Source organism: Homo sapiens, chromosome 10 (assembly GCF_000001405.40).
Source record: "Homo sapiens chromosome 10, GRCh38.p14 Primary Assembly".
Taxonomy (NCBI): Eukaryota; Metazoa; Chordata; class Mammalia; order Primates; family Hominidae; genus Homo; species Homo sapiens.
The window spans coordinates 11,978,913-12,000,657 of NC_000010.11; the positions used below are offsets into that span (position 1 = coordinate 11,978,913).

Consider the following 21,745-nt stretch of genomic DNA (forward strand, 5'->3'; position numbering starts at 1 on the left):
CAAAAATTTAGAATGCCGTAAATTCTAAACTGTTATACCACTATCAAATTTCAAGAATATGCTTACCAACAATTACATTCTTAAAGAATCCTCACTCAACGTATAAGAATATAAATATTTCAAAATAAATGCTTAAATACATACATGAAATCTGAAATCCCCCCTCAGCATGGAACAAAGATCCTCTGCTACATCAGACATGCAGGGATGCAATGTAGCAACCAATCTTGCATAAAATGGTAGCAAATCCAACCTGCAAAAGTTATATGTGATATGTGTCAAAGGAAAGACATATCAAAAATAATTCATTTTAAAATTTAAACTTTTCAGATGTATTCACACATTAAATGATCTTAAAACTCATAATCATACAGACATGCCTATTTATTGCCATCATAAAGAAGTGTTTGAAAATTCAATGAGCCTTCTACAATTTTATTAATATTCTGGCATTTTCCATTCCGTGAATTTACTGCACATCTGTAGTTTTATTATGTAATTTTGATGAAATATGAAACACCACACACAAAAAAACAGTATGTTTTGACACGACTTAAATTTTTAATCACATAATTACTGAGTAACTGCATATTTACAAATCTCAAGGTAACTTCTCTAGTGCAAGACAAAATCCTTTAAAGCCATTTCCTTCATTTATCTCAGGGTAAGTTATTTGGAAACCTCAAGGTCTAAAGTAAAAAGGTAATCAATAGGCTGGGCGTGGTAGCTCACGCCTGTAATCCCAGCACTTTGGGAGGCCGAGGCAGGCAGATCATGAGGTAAAGAGATCAAGACTATCCTGGCTAACACGGTGAAACCCCGTCTCTACTAAAAATAAAAAAATTAGACAGGTATGGTGGCATGCGCCTGTAGTCACAGCTACTCGGGAGGCTAAGGCAGGAGAATTGCTTGAACCCAGGAGGTAGAAGTTGCAGTGAGCCCAGATCACGCCACTGCACTCCAGCCTGGGTGACAAAGCAAGACTCCATCAAACGAATGAATGAATGAATGAATGGTACTCAATAACTGAAAAAACCTCTACGAAGGCAAAATAATATTACAAAATCTAAATACTAATTTATGTATTTCAACTCATTACAGAACCCACTCAGATCTTCATTCAGGATCTTAATTTGGACAGTAAATGGCAAATATGTGGCACTCACACTGCCACCCTCTTCCATTGTCAAAGCACTCTTTCCCATTACACAGGAATGATGCTCCAGAATCCTGCCTAGCACAGCACTCCAGGTGGCCACTACTAGTTGGAATCAACACACAAGCTAAAATTTATTTTCCATTCCTGCCATAGATGTTATTTTGTAAAACCTGATTAATCAATGATTCAACACTCAGCAGATCAGACTCTGAAGATGAGAAGTAATGAGCAACTGATAAAAGCAGCTTAACTGACAGCAGCAAATAATGGAGCTGACAGTGAGAGAGGAAGCTAAAAACTATAAAATTACAAGAGCTTAAAAATTATGACAGCTTGAAGCCAATTAGAACAGACACAAATAATCATACGAGTCTTAATTATCGCTGAGTGGAGGCCGGGCACGGTGGCTCACATCTGTAATCCCAGCACTTTGGGAGGCTGAGGCAGGCAGATCACCTGGAGACCAGCCTGGCCAATATGGTGAAACCCCATCTCTACCAAAAATATAAAAATTAGCTGGGCGTGGTGACAGATGCCTGCAATCCCAGCTACTCGGGAGACTGAGGCAGGAGAATCACTTGAACCCAGGAGGCAGAGGTTGCAGTGAGCTGAGATCACACCATTGCAATCCAGCCTGGGCAACAAGAGCGAAACTCCATCTCAAAAAAAGATTATTGCTGAGCACATCACTGTACCATACAATAATATATGAAAATGTTTGATGGTCAGGGAAAAAAACACATAATTCGATCTGGAAAGCTCCTCAGATGGATACATTAACCCTTAGCTAAAGGGACACTGAAAAAAGAAGGATGGAAATAAATTTGAAAGGTATGGTTAGGCTGGGCATGGTGGTCAATAATCCCAGCACTTTGGCAGGCTGAGACAGGTGGATCACCTGAGGTGAGGAGTTCAAGACCAGCCTGGCCAACATGGTGAAACCCCCATCTCTACTAAAAATACAAAATTTAGCTGGGTGCGGTGGCACCTGCCTGTAATCCCAGCTACTCGGGCCTGGGAGGTGGAGGTTGCAGTGAGCCAAGTCCATGCCACCGCACTCCAGTCTGGGCCACAGAGCGAGACTTTGTCTCAAAAAGATTTAAAAAAAAATTGAAATAAAGAAGAAAGGTAAGGTTAAATGGAGGAAACTGGCTAAATTCATACCTAAAAGCCTCAAAAACATGGTACTCCTCAAAAACTTGGGCTATTATAATTTCTAAGCAAATTAGTTTTTACTAATGTGCTGGGCCCTGTCCTAGGCCTCTTACATATATAACTCAACTTGTTAAACCTAATAACCACTTTATAAGGTGGATATTACACTCACCATTGCAGAAATAAGGGAACAGATGCTGAGAGAAGTCAGCAATATGATAGCTTTGTAGTATTACCGCAATAATTTTTTAAAATAAACCATATCTTTCTTTAAAGAAACAGCGAAAACTACAATCCATTATATAAAAACATTTAATGATAAAATTTAAATGTTGATTTAAAATATTTTTAAGGTTTTATCAATTAAAGTCTAAGCTGCTGTCACATGGAAAATGCACATAAGTAGGTCCCACCACTCTCTAAAGATATTACAAAAATAAGGTGTTCTTGTAAGGTACTCTTTTTTTTTTCTGAGACGGAGTCTCGCTCTGTCGCCCAGGCTGGAGTGGAGTGCAGTGGTACAATCTCGGCTCACTGCAACCTCCGCCTCCCGGGTTCAAGCGATACTTCTGCCTCAGCCTCCCAAGTAGCTGGGATTACAGGCAAGCACCACCGTGCCCGGCTAATTTTTGTATTTTTAGCAGAGACAGGGTTTCCCCATATTGGCCAGGCTGGTCTTGAACTCCTGACCTTGTGATCCATCCGCCTTGACCTCCAAAAGTGCTGGGATTACAGGTGTGCGCCACTGCGCCCAGCCCCTATAAGTTACGCTTATAAACATGTAATAATTTCCCTACTGTTCCTACTATTAAAAAAAAAAAAGCCTGGAGCAAATGAATATTTAATGTTCTTACATAACAGATTAATTTACACTGAGATTAAATTTACAAATTTTAGTTAGAATATTAAGGTTATTCATTTTCCACATCCATTTTAACAAATAAAGTATTCTTTTTCAGCTCATGATCAATTATCAAATTCAAATATAGGATTTAAATCTATGCGGAGGTTCTTTTGCTGCCATTGCCACAATTTCAGGTCAGAAAAGTACAGGTACAACAGCAAAGGTAACAAGATGGCAAAGCAACGCACTGGGAGTGAGGAGACCCAGGTATAAACTCTACAGCAGCAAACAGCATCTCCATGACCTCAGGGACTGATCCACCCTCTTCTCCCATACCTCCCAGCTTGCCTGCACCAGGCCCACTGGCTCCTCACTGATGCTCTGACTCAGGGCCTATGCAATGGTCCTTGCCTTGGGCTGGAATATGCTTTCCCTAAACATCCATACTGTTTACTCCCTCCCTAAAGGGAGTCCCAGTCTCCCTGTTTTGACCCGTTCCGAATACTCCAAGGAAACTGCACCTAACCCATCATATCCCTCCCAATCCCCTTACAAAGCACTTTGGTTTTTTTTGAGACAGAGTTTCACTCTTGTTGCCCAGGCTGGAGTGCAATGGCGCCATCTTGGATCACCACGACCTCCGCCTCCCAAGCGATTCTCCTGCCTCAGCCTCCCAAGTACCTGGGATTACAGGCATGCACCACCACACCCATTTAATTTTGTGTCTTTAGTAGAGATGGAGTTTCTCCATGTTGGTCAGGCTGGTCTTGAACTCCCGACCTTAGGCGATCCACCCCCCTCAGCCTCCTAAAATGCTGAAATTACAGACATGAGCCACTGTGCCCAGGCCTACCTGCACTACTTTTAAAAATGGAATTTACCACTTAACATAGTAAATAATTGATTTGTTATGGTTAACTCATTTGTTACCCCTACCCACCAAAATTGTTCAGTTCCGTGGCAGACAGTTCACCAGCACTCAAACAGTGCCTGGAACATAGGCAGGTGCTCAATATATACATTTGTTAGATAAATGAATTATCTCTGGTAACTCACTCTTAAGTATACTGTTAGCATTTAGTCTAAGACATTCTTCCCCATATTAAGGAAGTAGCATCTTATTGTTGTAATAACATTACATTTTATCAAGCAAAAGCTAATTTATCAAATATCTTTTAGCAGTTAATGGGACATTCACATAGTTACTTACTCTCCTACTGATGTTATATATATTAATAGATTTCCTATGTTAGAGTATCCTTCCATTCCTAAGATCAATCTTCTTTGGTCATGCTGGATTCTTATTTACTTATTTTTTTTTAGATGGAGTCTCGCTCTGCCGCCCAGGCTGGAGTGCAGTGGCATGATCTCGGCTCACTGCAAGTTCCGCCTCCTGGGTTCACGCCATTCTCCTGTCTCAGCCTCCTGAGTAGCTGGGACTACCAGCGCGTGCTATCATGCCCAGCTAATTTTTTGTATTTTTAGTAGAGACGGGGTTTCACTGTATTAGCCAGGATGGTTTCGATCTCCTGAACTCGTGATCCACCTGCTTCAGCCTCCCAAAGTGCTGGGATTACAGGCATGAGCCACCGTGCCCGGCCTTGGATTCTTATTTTTAATATACTATGTATTAAATATGATTTGCTAGTGTTTTACTTGGAATTTTTTTATTGACACTCAAAAGTGAGATTGGTCAATGCTTGTGATTTTCTTGTTCCTTCTTCTTAGAATTTTTAATATATGAAATAACACGTTTTCTATGCTCTGGAACAAGCGATATTATTTCTTCCTTAAAAGGCTAAAAATACTCAGTTAAGCTTCCTAGTTTTATTCTATTTAAGATGAAATTAATTGATAACTTTTTTTTTTTGAGACGGAGTTTCGTTCTCGTTGCCCAGGCTGGAGTGCAATGGCGCGATCTCGGCTCACCACAACCTCCACCTCCCGGGTTCAAGCAATTCTCCTGCCTCAGCCTCCTGAGTAGCTGGGATTACAGGTATGCACCACCACACCCAGCTAAGTGTGTATTTTTAGTAGAGACGGGGTTTCTCCATGTTGGTCAGGGTGGTCTGGAATCCTGACTTCAGGTGACCCGCCGCCTTTGCCTCCCAAAGTGCTGGGATTACAGGCGTGAGCCAGCGTGCCCGATCAATTAATAACTTTTAACGCTTTCTTCCATGATTACCGTTCTATGTGGGTATTTTATCTTGAAGGAATTTTGAAAATGTGTATATTTTTCAAAAAATTATGTTTCACTGAGATTTTCAAGTGGTTTTAAAATATTTTAAGCGTATCATCTGCTCATTTCTTAAACTTTTTAATGTTCTTTTTCTTTAAAATATATTTTCTACACACTTCTCTATTTTGATTTTTCCAGGAACCAGATCTTGAATTTCTAAAACTTTTATCTTAGTTGTCTTTTTCAATGTATTTTTCAACAAAGTTTGTGATAAAACAGCATCAAATATTCTTAAACTATGTCATTTCACTTTTCTTCTTTTTTTCCTTCCTCGTGCTACCTAGTCTAAGATCGTTTCACTTTTCTTCCACTTGTTGGTCTGTCCCTTGCACTTCACTTCATTTTCTTCTAAGTGGCCCAATCTACTGAGTCCCCCACAAAAAGGCAGATATAGCCATCTTTGCTCTTTAAAAAAAAAAAAAAAAAAGAGTCTCACTCTGTTGCCCAGGCTGGAGAACACTGACAGGATCTCAGCTCACTGCAACCTCCGCCTCCCAGGTTCGAGTGATTCTCCTGCCTCAGCCTCCCGAGCAGCTGGAACTACAGGTGCCTGCCACCATGCCCGGCTAATTTTTGTATTTTTAGTAGAGACAGGGTTTCAACATGGTGGCCAGGCTGATCTCGAACTCCTGACCTCAAGTGATCCACCCGCCTCGGCCTCCCACAGTGCTGGGATTACAGGCGTGAGCCACCGCGCCCGGTCCAGCTATGCATTTTAAAGCAAGACAGTTTTGTGCTACCTGTTCAGGCACAGATCAATGAAGTAACAACACGGGAAAATGCTTTCAGCTTTAATAGGGATTTTTAAAATGAGTTAAGGAAGTTATGAGTTAAGGAGTTATGGAAGTAAAGTTAGATACTCCATTTTCTCGGAATCCTCTACCCCTATAAAAAGGACAGTTGATACAAAATACCACCCTGCTCTATTTAAATCTTGAAGTCCTGTGTCTGTTCATCCATTACTTCACAAAATAAAATCCTTTATGTTGTAAATAATCAATTATATAGTTATTCAACGTTAGTCCTGCTTAAGAATGCTTTCTGCTGGCCGGGTGCAGTGGCTCACGCCTGTAATCCCAGCACTTTGGGAGGCAGAGGCTGGCGGATCACGAGGTCAGGAGATGGAGACCATCCTGGCTAATACGGTGAAACCCTGTCTCTACTAAAAATACAAAAAATTAGCTGGGCGTGGTGGAGGGCGCCTGTAGTCCCAGCTACTCGGGAGGCTGAGGCAGGAGAATGGCGTGAACCCGGGAGGCGGAGCTTGCGCCACTGCACTCCAGCCTGGGCGACACAGCAAGAGTCCGTCTCCAAAAAAAAAAAAAAACAAACAAACAAAAAAAAAGAATGCTTTCTTCGTGTTCTGTCTTCCAAAGGGCACACAAGCTCAAAAATGGGATGGAGTGCAAAATGTCACATCAGTCACATTAAAGTCACATCAGTCACATTAAAGTTATTAATAACACAAAATAAAATATTTTCATCAACTGCAAATTTGTGCTAAAATTTAAGCCAGATGGGTATTTCATCTAATTTGAGTGTTGAAAAGCAACTGAAAAATAATTAGATCCTTCCTTTTTTTTTTTTTTTTGTGAGACGGAATCTCGCTGTGTCGCCCAGGCTGGAGTGCAGTGGCACGATCCCCACTCACTGTAAGCTCCGCCTCCCGGGTTCACGCCATTCTCCTGCCTCAGCCTCCCGAGTAGCTGGGACTACAGGCGCCCGCCACCAAGCCCGGCTAATTTTTTGTATTTATAGTAGAGACGGGGTTTCACCGTGATAGCCAGGATGGTCTCGATCTCCTGACCTTGTGATCCGCCCGCCTCAGCCTCCCAAAGTGCTGGGATTACAGGCGTGAACCACCGCGCCCGGCCTAGATCCTTCCTTTGAAAACGGAATTCTATAATCTCATAAGATGGCGAAAATTACGTTTACCAACAATGAACGATGAATCACTTTAAAAGAATGCTATTTTCCCTTAAATAATAAAATCTTGTTTATGTTTTTAAGGTCTCCTGAATCACACATTTAAGTATCCTACCAGCAGTTAATGATTATCAAGTCAGTAAACAGTCACTAACTACAAGCAAGCAGAAACAAGAGCAGAAACATACAAACACTTTTGTTATTGAGAGGGAAAGAAGAAATTCTTATGGGTTTTCATCTCCTAATCAATTGGCTTTCTAAAAGAAATGTCTAGCTCTCTTTTTCTCTTTAAAATCTGAAGAATTTGACTGTTGAAAGCTATTTAATTTTATCTCTGTGCTCAAAAATGCCTGGAAAAAAATGAATGTGAAAGAACGCTGTTACGGTGCAATTAAAGAATACAAAGGATTTCATAGGAAACACTAAAGCAGAAGATGATTCCTAAAAAATGAAATATAATAAGCAAAAGACTGGGGTCATTTACTCTGAAATCGACAACCAAATGCCCTGTTGACTTTTCCACAATGCTGCTGTTTCCAACACAACAGCGCCACCAGGTGGTGCAACATACTAACAGATTTCACGGAAACATTCTCTCACAGTTCCAAATTGAGTGAAGGAGGAGGTCCAATCAGAAAATCTCTTACAAAAAGTCCAGCAAACTCTCCTAAAAGCTAGATAGGGAAAAGCTGTTCAAGAATCAAGGGCAGCACTTCACCTCTGAAGAGTATTCTGTTTACATGAATCTAAAGAGCCAACACTTGGCTAAAACAATACCAAGTGCATCTATACTTTAAACATAAGGAAAGAAGAGATTCTTACGTACTTTCCCTGATACTGATTGACTTTAAACTTAAATATTGGCTTAGGTGAGGGGCCTTCTGAGGTGCTGGGAATGTCATATATCTTGATCGGAGTGATGGACACATATGTATACTTTAGATATAAACACCTCAGGAAGAAGAGTTAGTGGAGGCTGGGTTTAACACCTAGGTGATGAGATGATCTGCGCAGCAAACCACCACGGTACATGTTTACCTATGCAACAAACCTGCACAGCCTGCACATGGACCCTTGCACTTAAACTTTAAAAGTTGAAGACAAAAAAAGATATAAACACTTAATGTGAAATCTCAATTAGTTGTGTGTATAGCTATGTTATAATTACCTATAAAATAAAATGCAAATATCTAAGGGGATTTCTACATCTCAGTGGAGTCCAAATTAATAGGCTAAGAGAGGCTGGGCACGGAGGCTCCTGCCTGTAATCACAGCACTTTGGGAGGCCTAGGCGGGTGGATCATTTGAGGTCAGGAGTTCATGACCAGCCTGGCCAACATCATGAAACCCCGTCTCTACTAAAAAAATATATAAAAATTAGCCAGGAGTGGTGGTGCATGCCTGTAGTCCCAGCTACTAGGGAGGCTGAGGCGGGAGAATCACTTAAGCCCAGGAGACAGAGGTTGCAGTGAGCTGAGATCACACCACTGCACTCCAGCCTGGGCGATAGAGCAAGACTCTGCCTCAAAAAAAAAAAAAAAAAAAAAAAAAAAAGGCTAAAGGATATAATGATAGTGTTTTGAGATTTTTTTTCATCATTATTTATTTAATGAAGGAAGAATGCAACTGAAAGTTAAAACACTGCTTCAGATCAAACCTTTAAGAACTGTAAAGATGAACTACATCAAACTTTAAAAACTGTGCTGCAAATTATACTACCAAGCAAGTGAAAAGACAACTCAGAGGATGGGAGAAAATACTTCCAAATTATGTATCTGATAAGAGATGTGTGCCTAGAATATATAAATAACTCTTAGAACTCATTCATAAAAAGACAAATACAATTTTACAGGGGCAAAGGCTGTGAATAGATACTTCTCCAAAGAAGATATGCAAATGGCCACTAAGCACATGAAAAGATGCTCAACGTCATATGTCATTAGGGACGTTGTCCCTAGGTATCCATGAGGGACTGGTTCCAGGAACTACTACCCCCACCCAAAAGATACCAAATTACTTATAATGCCTAACACAATGTAAATGCTATATAAATAGTTGTTATGCTGTGTTTATTTTTGTAATTTTTGTAATTTTCTTAGAGACAGAGTCTCACTGTCACCCAGGCTGGAGTGCAGTGGTGAGACCAGAGTGCACGAACTTCAAATTCCTGGGCTCAACTGATCCTCCCACCTTAGCCTCCCAAGTAGATGGAACTACAGGCACATGCCACTATGCCTGGCTTATTTTTTGTAGAGGATGGGGTCTCACTATGTTGTCTAGGCCGGTCTCAGACTCCTGGCTTTAGGCCATCCTCCTGCCTTGGTCTCCAAAAGTGTTGGGATTACAGGAGGGAGGAAGGAGCATGCCAGGGAGGAGGACGAGAATCTGACTGAAGGAGTCTCAAACAGGCTGGGTGAGTATGGGTGCAGGACGAGGCCAGGATGCCAAAAGGTGATAGTATTTCCTTGCCCCCTCTCCCAAAGTGTTCCAGCCTGCCCCAAGTGTTCCAAAGACTCAAAGTAACTTGCTACCTCCAATACCACTTCACTGCCTGCTTACTCTACACTCAACTCTCTTTACTCCCCTTATCTCCTCGCTTGAGGGCTATCAGACATCACTGTCACTCAAAGGATAGAGAAAGCTGTGTGAATATATGGGGTCTGGAAGAATCAGAAATGGGATGACAGGGAATTGACTGGCACTTGATTACTATCTTTCTACTCCAGGCTCCCTAGGGATCAAGCCGTCCCCCTCAGGGATAAGCCAAATCCTGCAGGTAGGGTAGAAATGCACCTGGAAGTGAAGGACAAAATAAGACCTTCAAAATGAAAGGCTTTTTTGATCAATAAAAATATACAGCCAACCAGGAAATGTCAACCTGGTCCAAGTCCCTCCCTATTACCTCATTTTACAGATCTGTAAACAGAGGCATTGGCTTTCCAAATCCCACAGTAATGAACTTTAAAAAGATTGAGAAAGTTTAATTTAAACCTGAAAAGACTACACAGAATACTATTAACATGAGAAATGTATAAAAATTAGAAATCTACTTGAACAAATTATAGCTCAATTGATTAAAATCTATATAAAATATGAAAATGTGCCAGGCATAGTGGCACATGCCTGTAATCCTAGCTACTCAGGAGACAGAAGCAGGAGGATTGCTTGAGGCCAGGAGTTCAAGAGCAGCCTGGGCAACATAGCAAGACCTTGTCTCTTAAAAAATAAATGAATAGAAATGTAAAGAGTAACAGTCAAAGCTATGTATAAATTACATCTTTCAAAAGACTGTCCTCTACCAGCCAAACCATGAGTATTTCTTTTATTGTTTTCAACAAGGTAACTTACTAGAGAAATATTAACACAAGTCTACTGACTGAAAACAAATCCCTGTGAGTATTTCCGTAGCAAGGGACACAATGTTACCCCAATGCTTCACATGCTTCCCTACATTTTCTAAATGCTCTTGTTGTCCTAGACAATGAGCTAAGAACAAAAATGACTTGGCACTTCTTGTCCAAAGTATCTAGGACTAAGCTGAGTTCACACGCTTGTCTCCCATGCCACGGCCACCTAGAAGCCATGCTAGTGACGTAGATGAAAGTGGTCTGGATCCTTGAGTCACCTCCTGAAAGGGTAGTCTAGGGAGCCCACCAAACCCAGAGGACTTCGAGAACCTCAGATTTCAGAGGTTTGTTGTTCCTCCAACATCCCTAACCTATCCTGGCTTATCCATTTTCTCAGGAAAAGTAATGGCTCACACCAATAAAGCTGAAAATAGTTTTTCAGTTATAGGAAGCTAGAATGATATTAATGTAAGAAAACATGAACTTCGAAAAAAAAGTCTGGCTGAAGCCACCCAATCTGTCCAGATTTGCTTCAAGGTAAATTACAGCAGGATAAGCAAATGAAAAGAAAAGGGAAAGCTGGCCCAAACAGGGCAGATCTTCAAATATGCCATCAACATGCTTCTTTCAATGATAAACACATATTGTTTCTCTATAGTTTGACCACTTATCCTCAAGTTCTACCTTTCAATGATAAACCCATATTCCTGACATACAACAAATGCTTAGCATCTGGAAAGGCAGGGCAAAGACTAAGCAAAAGCTCCATGAGGAAATGCAATGCCCATGCAGAACAGGGAAACGGCCCCCAAAGCAACCAACATCAGAAACAATAGCAAAAATATGTCCTTAAAAAGGGTTAGGAGGCCGGGTGGATCACGAGGTCAGGCGATCGAGACCATCCTAGCTAACATGGTGAAACCCCATCTCAACCAAAAATACAAAAAATTAGCCGGGCGTGGTGGCAGGTGCCTGTAGTCCCAGCTACTCAGGAGGCTGAGGCAGGAGAATAGCGTGAACCTGGGAGGCGGAGCTTGCAGTGAGCCGAGATCATGCCACTGCACTCCAGCCTGGGTGAAGAGCAAGACTCTGTCTCAAAAAAAAAAAAAAAAAGGAAACCTGTTGACCAGGCCCAGTGGCTCACGCCTGTAATCTCAGCACTTCGGGAGGCCGAGGCTGGCAGATCACTAGGTCAGGAGATCGAGACCATCCTGGCTAACATGGTGAAACCCTGTCTCTACTAAAAATACAAAATATTAGCTGGGCGTGGTGGCGGGCACCTGTAGTGTCAGCTACTTGGTAGGCTGAGGCAGGAGAATGGTGTGAACCCAGGAGGCGGAGCTTGCAGTGAGCCAAGATCAGGCCACTGCACTTCAGCGCTTGAGCGACAGAGCAAGACTCCATCTCAAAAAAAAAAAAAAAAAGGAAACCTGTTAATAACAAAGCTGAGCAAATCTAACTCATGATACGTAATAAAAAGAGGGTAAGTACAGCATCAGTGCAAAGGTACTGTCAATTTTTTTAAATTAAAAAAATAAGAATGAAAAGAACAAATTCCTCAAAACCTACCAAACAAAATTCTCCAGAAACATACTGCCATGAAATATATGAAAATTCTGGCCAGTTTTCCATGCATTTTTTAAAGAACTGAATGAACTAAAAGAAGAAATGAGAAAAAGAGTAGTAGAGGGAAAAGACTTTGCAGAATGTTGAGTAAGAAAAAGACAACACTGAAAACAGTGACTGGTAAGAATAAAATCGCCAGAAAACAACCACAGCACAGTCAACATATGCATCATTGGGGTACCTAAAAAAGAAAGCCAAAACAAGATAACAGAACTAGTATTTAAATATATTTGAGGAAATAAATAAATTTTAAAAATTCCCTGAATTTTTCAATATGAAAATGGAAAGGGCATGAAGAAGGACCCAGAATGATCAACACCAAGAACTATTTATCCTAGGAAAGTTATTGGATTTACTTGATTAATTAGAGAAAAAATTATTTGGGCAGCCATTTAAATGACCAAGTTAATTTTAAGAGAGGAAAAAAAAAAGGCCAGCTCGCCTAGATTTCAACACAGTAATGGCAAATGCCAAATGACTATTGAGTGACACCTACATGATATTTAGGGTTAAAAGGTATGAGCTGTGGATTCTCCACTATAACCAGTCAAGCAGCCATTCAAGTAACATAGCCCCAATTCTGAACATAGAGAAATTCAAGGCACATTTTTCCCCAAGAACACTTTTTGAGAAAACTATTAGAAAATGAACTTCAGGCCAGGCGCAGTGGCTCACACCCACAATCCCAGCACCTTGGGAGGCTGAGGTGAGCGGATCACCTGAGGTCCAGGGTTCAAGACCAGCCTGGCCAACATGATGAAACCCTGTCTCTACTAAAAATACAAAAATTAGCTGGGCGTGGTGGCGGGCGCCTGTAATCCCAGCTACTCAGGAGCCTGAGGCAGAAGAATCGCTTGAACTGGAGGCAGAGGTTGCAGTGAGCCAAGATCGCGCCACTGCACTCCAGCATGGGCAATAGAGCAAAACTCAGTCTCAAAAAAAAAAATGAAAATGACCTTCAGCAAATAAGGGCATTAGAGCAAGAAATTTTAATATAAATGTTTTATTCCCTATCAGGATATGTCATCAATATAAAAATAAGTGAGGGGGGATGGAAAAGCAGACAGGAAGTCAGGTGTGCCGCTTGCCTACTGAAATAATGCTGAAAGTTAAATATCACTCAAATACAAGAATAAGTACATTTAAGAGTAAAAAGGAAAATATTAAGGAAGAAAACATTATTAACTAATATCAGATGAGTGACTAAAGAGAGTAAGAAAAGAAGACACCACAAACTAATCTTACCACTGCTCATGGTAGAAAACAACAGAGACTGTCTAAATAAATAATCGCTAAGCAAACTTACAATCATAAAGTAATAAAATAATAATGCAAACCTTCCTAAAACCAAGAAACATACACTCATGCGTGCACACTAAATTAAAAAATATAAAAGACCACATAATGAAAGACTTTTAGGAATTAAACCAAAAAGGAAAATATTACAGAACTCAAGCCAATCATAAATAGCCTAAATTACTTTCATTAAAAGAAACATACTTTCAGAATATGTCTGAGAGTAAAATTCAATTCAATTGTACATAAAAGAGACTCAACTAAAATAAAATGATTCTGAAAGATGGAATATAAAATAAAGGGCACAGGTATACCAAATAAAAGGCACATGTATACCAAACGCAAATAAAAAGAAAGCAGCAGTCAGGCGCAGGTGGCTCACACTTGTAATCCCAGCACTTTGGGAGGCCAAGGCGAGTGAATCACTTGCGGTCAGGAGTTCAAGACCAGCCTGGTTAATATGGTGAAACCCCGTTTCTACTAAAACTACAAAAAATTACCCGGGCGTGGTGGTACACGCGTGAAATCCCAGTTACATGTGAGGCTTAGGTGGGAGAATCGCTTGGACCCAGGAGGTGGAGGTTGCAGTGAGCAGAGATCACACCACTGCACTCCAGCTTGGGTGACAGAGTGAGGCTCCACCTCAAAAAAAAAAAAAAAAAAAAAAAAGGCAGCAATCATAATCATTAATATCAGATGAGTTGGAATTCAGGCCAAAAGGCATTAAATAAGACCAAGAAGAACACTTTATAATGATAAAAGATGTATGTAATTCACAATTAAGTTTTATCTATACAACAAATAACACAACAGTAATATACAGAAAGCTGGAATCCTAGTAGCTATTAGGAGAAATGCAACACATCGGGAGTCACACCTTTAATCCACCTCTCAGGCCATGACCTCTGGGCAAGAGGCCAAAAATGTAAGAAAATAGATCTGAATCATTATTTAATCATGTAAACCTGATCAATACATTTACTGACTATATAATTAGAGACAAAGTAAACTTCAAAAATTCCAAAAAAAAAACCAGACAGTATTCTCTAATCAAAATGCAATAAAAATATAAATTATTGACAAAGCCACAAAACAAAACAAAAAGCCCCTCTACCTGGAAATTTTGAAATTCCTTGGGTCACAAAGGAAATAAAACTAAAATTACCACATGTCAGAACTAACAGATGGCTGGGCACAGCGGCTCATGCCTGTAATCCCTGCACTTTCGGAGGCCAAAGCAGGAGGAGCTGCTTGAGCCCAGGAGTTCAAGACTAGCCTGGTCAATATAACAAGACCTCGACCCTACCAAAAAAAAAAAATTAATTAATGTAAAAATTAGCCAGACATGGTGGTTCATGCCTGTGGTCCCGGCTACTTGCGAGGCTAACGTGAAAGGATTGCTAGAGCCTGGGAGGTTGAGGCTGCAGTGAGCTGTAATCTCACCACTGCACTCAAGCCTAGGCAACAGAGCAGGACCCTGTCTCTAAAAAAAAAGAACCAAGAGACATGGCTTAAACTATGCTCAATGGACAACTCATATATGAAGTGCTAGAAAAGAAACAAAATAAATGGAAGAAACCCAAAAGAAGAAATTAATAAAGAACAAAGCCAAAAATAACAGTAAGAAAATCATTAAAGAGAATAAATAATAAATCTAAAAGCTGAGTTTTTTTAGTAGGAAAAAACTAGGTAAACCATTAGCTAACATAACCACGAGGAGAAAAGAGGAAGTACAAATTCAAATATGGCACTGTCTGTAACAGTTAAATATAGTACATTCATCAAAAGAAACACTGCAGCTTTAAAATAACGAACAAAGGAAATCTTTATGTCCTGAGATGAAAAGATATGTATCAGCTGCCCACTGTGTTAAAAACAGGAAATAAGAATCTATAATTGTATTTTCTTGTATACGCAAAAGAATCTTTGGGAGAATACACAAGCATCAAGATACTGATTTCCTACTGAAAGGAGTGGAAATTGGGTAGATGGGAAGGCAAGGATAAGAAGGATACTTTTCATCATATAATGTTTTCTACTTCTGGATTTTGAGCTATAGAGCCTTATAATTTATTATTTAAAACTGCATATGGCCAAGATTAATTCATCAAATATTTTAAGCTTGGACTATATGCCAAACACTATACTTGGTGTTGGAGATGCACAAAATGAAAAGATCGAGTCCTCTTTCCTAAAGAGTGATAGTTTCCGCCTGTAATCCCAGCACTTTGGGAGGCCGAGGCGGGTGGATCACGAAGTCAGGAGATCGAAACCATCCTGGCTAACACAATAAAACCCCATCTCTACTAAAAATACAAAAAATTAGCCGGGCGTGGTGGCAGGCGCCTGTAGTCCCAGCTACTTGGGAGGCTGAGGCAGGAGAATGGCGTGAACCTGGGAGGCAGAGCTTGCAGTGAGCCGAGATCGCGCCACTGCACTCCAGCCTGGGCAACAGAGTGAGACTCCATCTCAAAAAAAAAAAAAAAAAAAAAAAAAAAAAGAGTGATAGTTTCAAGTCTGGCAGGGAGACAGGAAGCAAACCAACAATCGGAATATGATGTGCCTAATTCTTCGTAAGAAGACATGAAGTGCTATAAAGAATACCTCTATCTACACAAGGGAAAAAAGGAAGGCTGTTCATAGAGGATAGCTCTTGTTAAAGACTTAAAGGTGAGTCAAAGATTTCCAGTGGAAAAATAAAGGACATCCCAGATAAAAGCAGAAAGCAGTGGCAAAGGTATGGGAGTAGAGAGAGCAAACAGTATTCGAGAAACCATTACAGATCAAGATTCTGCAGAAGGAAGAATGGTTAGAATTAAGACTGAAGAAGTTGAAAACCAGCTAGCTAAGAAAGGGCATTACATATCTTGTTACCTAATTTTATCACCTTTCACATGACAGGCATTGTGCTATGTGCTGGGTATAAAGCAGTAAACATGGCCTCCTTCCTGCAGTTTACAGTCTAGAGGACAATGTCAAAGAATTTAAAAAAGAGGTTTGGCTGGCGCGGTGGCTCACACATCTAATCCCAGCACTTTGGGAGGCTGAGGCAGGCGGATCACGAAGTCAGGAGCTCAAGATCAGCCTGGCCAACAGGGTGAAACCCCATCTCTACTAAAAATATAAAAATTAGCCGGGCATGGTGGTGGGAGCCCATAGTCCCAGCTACTCGGGAGGCTGAGGGAGGAGAATCGCTTGAACCCTGGAGTCGGAGGTTGCAGTGAGCTGAGATCGCACCACTGCACTCCAGCCTGGGCGACAAGTGAGACTCTGTATCAAAAAAAAAGAGGTTTTACCAAGAGTTTGATGCCATGACCTTTCCTGTCTCTGACTCCCTGCACATACTGTTGCCTCTGTCAGCAATGCTCTCCCTACATTCCCAATCCCCACCCATCCCTTAACTAGTCCATTCTTCTCAGGCCTCAGATTAAATGACCCTTGTTCCAGGCAGTCTTCTCTGACTCCTCAGACTCAATCAGTCAGTTCCACTTGGCTCTATGCTTCAAAGCATGCTGCGCTTCTTCTTGACAAAGGCACTTAGAATTACTCCTCTGTCTTCCTCTCCAAAGTGTAAGCTGTATGAATACAAGAACTAAGATGATCTTGTTCACCCCTGTACTGTATCTCCAGCATGGATCACAGTACACAGCAGACCCGTAACGAATTATTTAATGAATGAGTACATTTTAGAATAATATAACAATCTTTCCTGATTATCAGGCTGATTATAATATACTTAATTGTATTTATATACTGCAAGTATATAAGACTACGAGATCTATTTCTCATGGCTCTAGAATACTTGCATCTTTTTTTAATACTTATGATAAACTGTCACTTCATTCAACCTTTTTTTTTTTTGAGATGGAATCTCGCTCTGTTGCCCAGGCTGGAGTGCAATAGCATGATCTTGGCTCACTGCAACCTCCGCCTCCTGGGTTCAACCGGTTCTCCTGCCATGGCCTCATGAGAAGCTGAGTATGGGCATGCGCCACCACACCCAGCTAATTTTGTATTTTAGTAGAGATGGGGTTTCACCATGTTGGTCAGGCTGGTCTCAAACTCCTGACCTCAGGTGATCCACCTGCCTCAGCCTCCCAAGGTGCTGGGATTACAGGCCTGAGCCACCGCGCCTGGCCTGAAGTATGTAATTTTACGTTATAAAAATATTCATCCATATGACTTCTTCAATTACATAATTCTTAATTACCTACTCACTACATTAACACATTCCCTCTCCCTTGCCCCACTAAAATGAATAACGCTAGCAGGAGATTAAAAAACTAATATGAAAGAAAAAAGGCAAGTAGTGATTTGGTTTCACTGAGAAATCTTACCATTATCAAGAGATCATGGGCCTCCATCAATGAATGAACCACATTAAAATTCTGCTCAAGAAACCTTCATTGAAATCCCTCAGAATCCTTATCTTTTGGGGAGAGTATCTGTCTGAGCTATGTCATATGTAATCATCTTAATAGTTAACAAAATTATTTAATTATTTATTGTTGAATAAACAGAAATAGATCTCCTCCAGGATTCTAAGGTCAACAGTCTATGAGTGGTCCTGAAATGTTCAGGTGAAGTAGAAATTTTAATTTAATGTAATATAATGCATCAGAATTCTCTAAAAGCATTATGCAACTGAATGTGTGTCTTGAATTACTAGCAACATAATCATTAATATGATTTCCAATTCTATCCAATGAGTCTCTAGGCAGGCTATCATACCTCTTAACTATCATAATTACCTAAATAACTTGAAATTTTTCATTTAAACATAAATCTGAGAACTAAATATATTACATTACCCTCATCTTTGCACAAAATAAAAACTCTCCAAAAAAATTATGTTCCATTTATTACTTTTTCCTCAGAGGCAAAAATGCAAACAATTGCTTCTAGCAATTCTTCTTCTTCTTCTTAAGCTACTCTTAAACATTTTATTTTAAAATAATTAGATATCAGAAGAAATATTCCCATTAGAGCTAACAAGCAATGAACAAAAATTAATGGGAAACAAGTTCTAAAAAATATGCTAATAATGCTAATGACCTACAGAGTGAATAAAATCAAAAGCAATATTTTTCAAGAGGTAAGAATTTTGATCTTACAGCCAGCACTACAGAGTAAAAACACTAATAAATTTCTCTTTCATAACACTTACCTTTGTCTAGGAACTATGAAGAGTGCCCGTACCAACTTCTTCCTGTTTGCTTTTGTGTTCATGTTCATGCAAAAATCCATTGCTGCCTATTGGGAAAAAGTAAACTTTTTCTTTAAAAACCTCTAATTAGTTACGGAGAGCAGAAATCCTGCCTACTATGATATTTTTATTTGTTCTTAAACATTTCAAAATGGTTTTAAGAAACTAGTATTGTTAGTATCAGGAAAGTTTTCTGATAGAGCTCAAAAGTAGCAAGAATAGTTACCAAGAGCCAAGAAAATTACTAATGCTAATAAGGATAACCAAAAAGCAGTAAAGGGGAATGAGCAAAGAGAAAGAGACAGGCACAAATTATACCCAAGAAGATGGAAGAAGAAGAAGTGTGCCCCCACATTCACTAAAAAAGTTTAGTGTCGACAGTCAGATTTGGTAATGTTAGGGTTTAGAAAGCAATACCCCAAAATATGGCTCTTTGGATGCTGAGTACTTCATTTGAACTAAGAAAACTGGAAAGCCTGATAAGCGGCCTCAGTGAAGGTCTCTCTGACCAACCCTTGTTTCTCTTCACAAGTGCAGGAAATGGCGCTCTCTCTCTCTCTCCAAGATGCCTTAACTGACAGAGGAGAATTCTTCCAAAAGAAACTCAACTGTCTTCAATCCCCTGTCTAAAATTTCATAAAACAGGGAATTTATCTAGATGACCATTACCACCTGGACAGACTTTTTTCTGAGACAAGGTCTCACTCTGTCACCCAGGCTGGGGTGCAGTGGCACAATCATGGCTCACTGCAGCCTTGCTCTGCCAGGCTCCAGGGATCCTCCTGCCTCAGCTCCCGGCCAAGCAGCTGAGACTATAGGCATGTGTAGTTAAGGTTGAAACATAATAAAAATCGCTCCTTGGATGGGCACGGTGGCTCACACCTGTAATTCTAGCACTCTGGGAGGCCGAGGTGGGTGGATCACGTGAGGTCAGGAGTTCAAGACCAGCCTGGCCAACATAGTGAAACCCTGTCTCTACTAAAAATATAAAAAATTAGCCGGGCATGGTGGCGGGCACCTGTAGTCCCAGCTACTCGGGAGGCTGAGGCAGGAGAATGGCGTGAACCCGGGAGGCGGAGCTTGCAGTGAGCCGAGAACATGCCACTGCACTCCAGCCTGGGCAACAGAGCAAGACTCCGTCTCAAAAAAATAAAAAATAAAAAGATTAGCTGGGCGTGGTGGTGCACGCCTGTAGTCCCAGCTACTCAGGAGGCTGAGGCAGGAGAATCACTTGAATCTGGGAGACAAAGGTTGCAGTGAGCCAAGACCGTGCCACTGCACTCCAGACCGGGCAACAGAGCAAGACTCCACTCAAAAAAAAAAAAAAAAACTCATTTGTATGGACTCAACAAGGAGACTCTTAAGTGACAGTGGCACTGTTTTTTTAATTGCAAATGCATGGTGAAAATATAATGCTAGTATAATTTGGTACCACTACCTTGAATCATGATAAAATGCTAGTAGCTCTACCCACCATCACTTTTGCAAATGTCAAAACAATAAAAAAGAAAAAAAAACATCGGCCGGGTATGGTGGCTCATGCCTGTAATCCGAGCACTTCGGGAGGCCAAGGCAGGCGGATCACAAGGTCAGGAGTTCGAGACCAGCCCAGCCAATATGATGAAACCATGTCTCTACTAAAAATACAAAAAAATTAGCCGGCATGATGGCGCGTGCCTGTAATCCCAGCTACTCGAGAGGCTGAGGCAGGAGAATTGCTTGAACCTGGGAGGTGGAGGTTGCAGTGAGCCAGGATCACACCATTGCACTCCAGCCTAGGCGAAAGAGTGAGACTCCATCTCAAAAAAAAAAAAAAAAAAAAACACACACAAGAAAAAAAAACTTAGTATTATCATCAAAAGAATTTTTGACCTCACAGAACCCCAGGAAGTGCCTCAAAGCCATTAAAAATCCAGAAACCATACTTTTAGCACCTTTGATCTAAAACAATATTTTCCAAACTATGGGATCCATGTATGAACAGGACAGGATGCTACAGCCAATTCTCTACCCAAACAGAGCATCTATGAATTACATCCAATTTTGTCTGCTTATGCTGAATTCCCATCTAAGACTTTATTTGAAGAAATGGTGGACTTTGTAGCTCAAACAGTCTAAAAACCATAGACATTCCTTATCAGAGGACTCCTACAAGGTCCATGTGCTTGAATAAAGTTACACAGAGATACCAATACCTTGTCTATCAGATCTCGGTTGACACAGTTGGGTAACTGCTGTAGGAAAGCATCTACTATGAGCTTGAGATGAGATCCAGTGCTGGCTTCCTCATCTTCTTGTTCTAATGTAAAATTAGTTTTTAAATAGGTTAAAAAAAAAAGAGAACACAGAATAAAAACATCCAATGATGAATTATTTGGAAAATAGATAATCTAGACCAATTTTTGTGCCCAGGAAAACATTAGTCATTTTTTAGAATATTATCCTAGAAAGTTTAGGTAACTCTAGAATCATAACATCAATTCACTACAGTCCTTCAGGTATCAACTATAAAAGTCAAACTTTTTGCATTAGGCACAAAAACTTGGTCAGAAAAAGCATGCAGTGTTATGGTAAATGTTATTGGTGTCTGCCCAGCATCCCTTCCCCCATGTTCTTCCATTAACAGCACTCCCAATTCTTGCCTTTGAAGAACTAAGCCTCCCTATTTCATGTAATTCTAAGGAGGGTGGCTGGTTTACATAGAGAAAGAATCTGCAGTAAGATAGGGTAAAGCCAACAGAGAGAAAAGCAATATTGACAGAAGGTATCCTTCTAATAAAGAATCTTGGCCAGGTGTGATGGCTCATGCCTATAATGCCAGGGCCTTGGGAGGCTGAGGCAGGGGGATCACTTGAGGCCAGGAGTCCAAGACCAGTCTGGGTAACATAACAAGACCCTGTCTCTAAAAAATATAAAATAAAATAAAACAAAATAAAATAAAGTAAAA

At 40.5% G+C, this 21,745-nt stretch overlaps 1 protein-coding gene across 5 annotated transcripts in view; it reads right to left on the reverse strand.

Annotated features, from left to right (window-relative positions):
• UPF2 (UPF2 regulator of nonsense mediated mRNA decay) overlaps positions 1–21,745 on the reverse strand; it is a 123,149-nt gene that overhangs the window by 58,891 nt on the left and 42,513 nt on the right. For all 5 annotated transcript variants that reach the window (NM_080599.3, NM_015542.4, XM_047424986.1 and 2 more), the window contains exons 7-9: positions 20,994–21,097; positions 18,760–18,845; positions 145–253 (exon numbers count right to left, since the gene is read on the reverse strand). In NM_080599.3, the coding sequence (NP_542166.1) occupies positions 145–253; positions 18,760–18,845; positions 20,994–21,097 (299 nt within the window). The remainder of the gene's footprint in view (positions 1–144; positions 254–18,759; positions 18,846–20,993; positions 21,098–21,745) is intronic.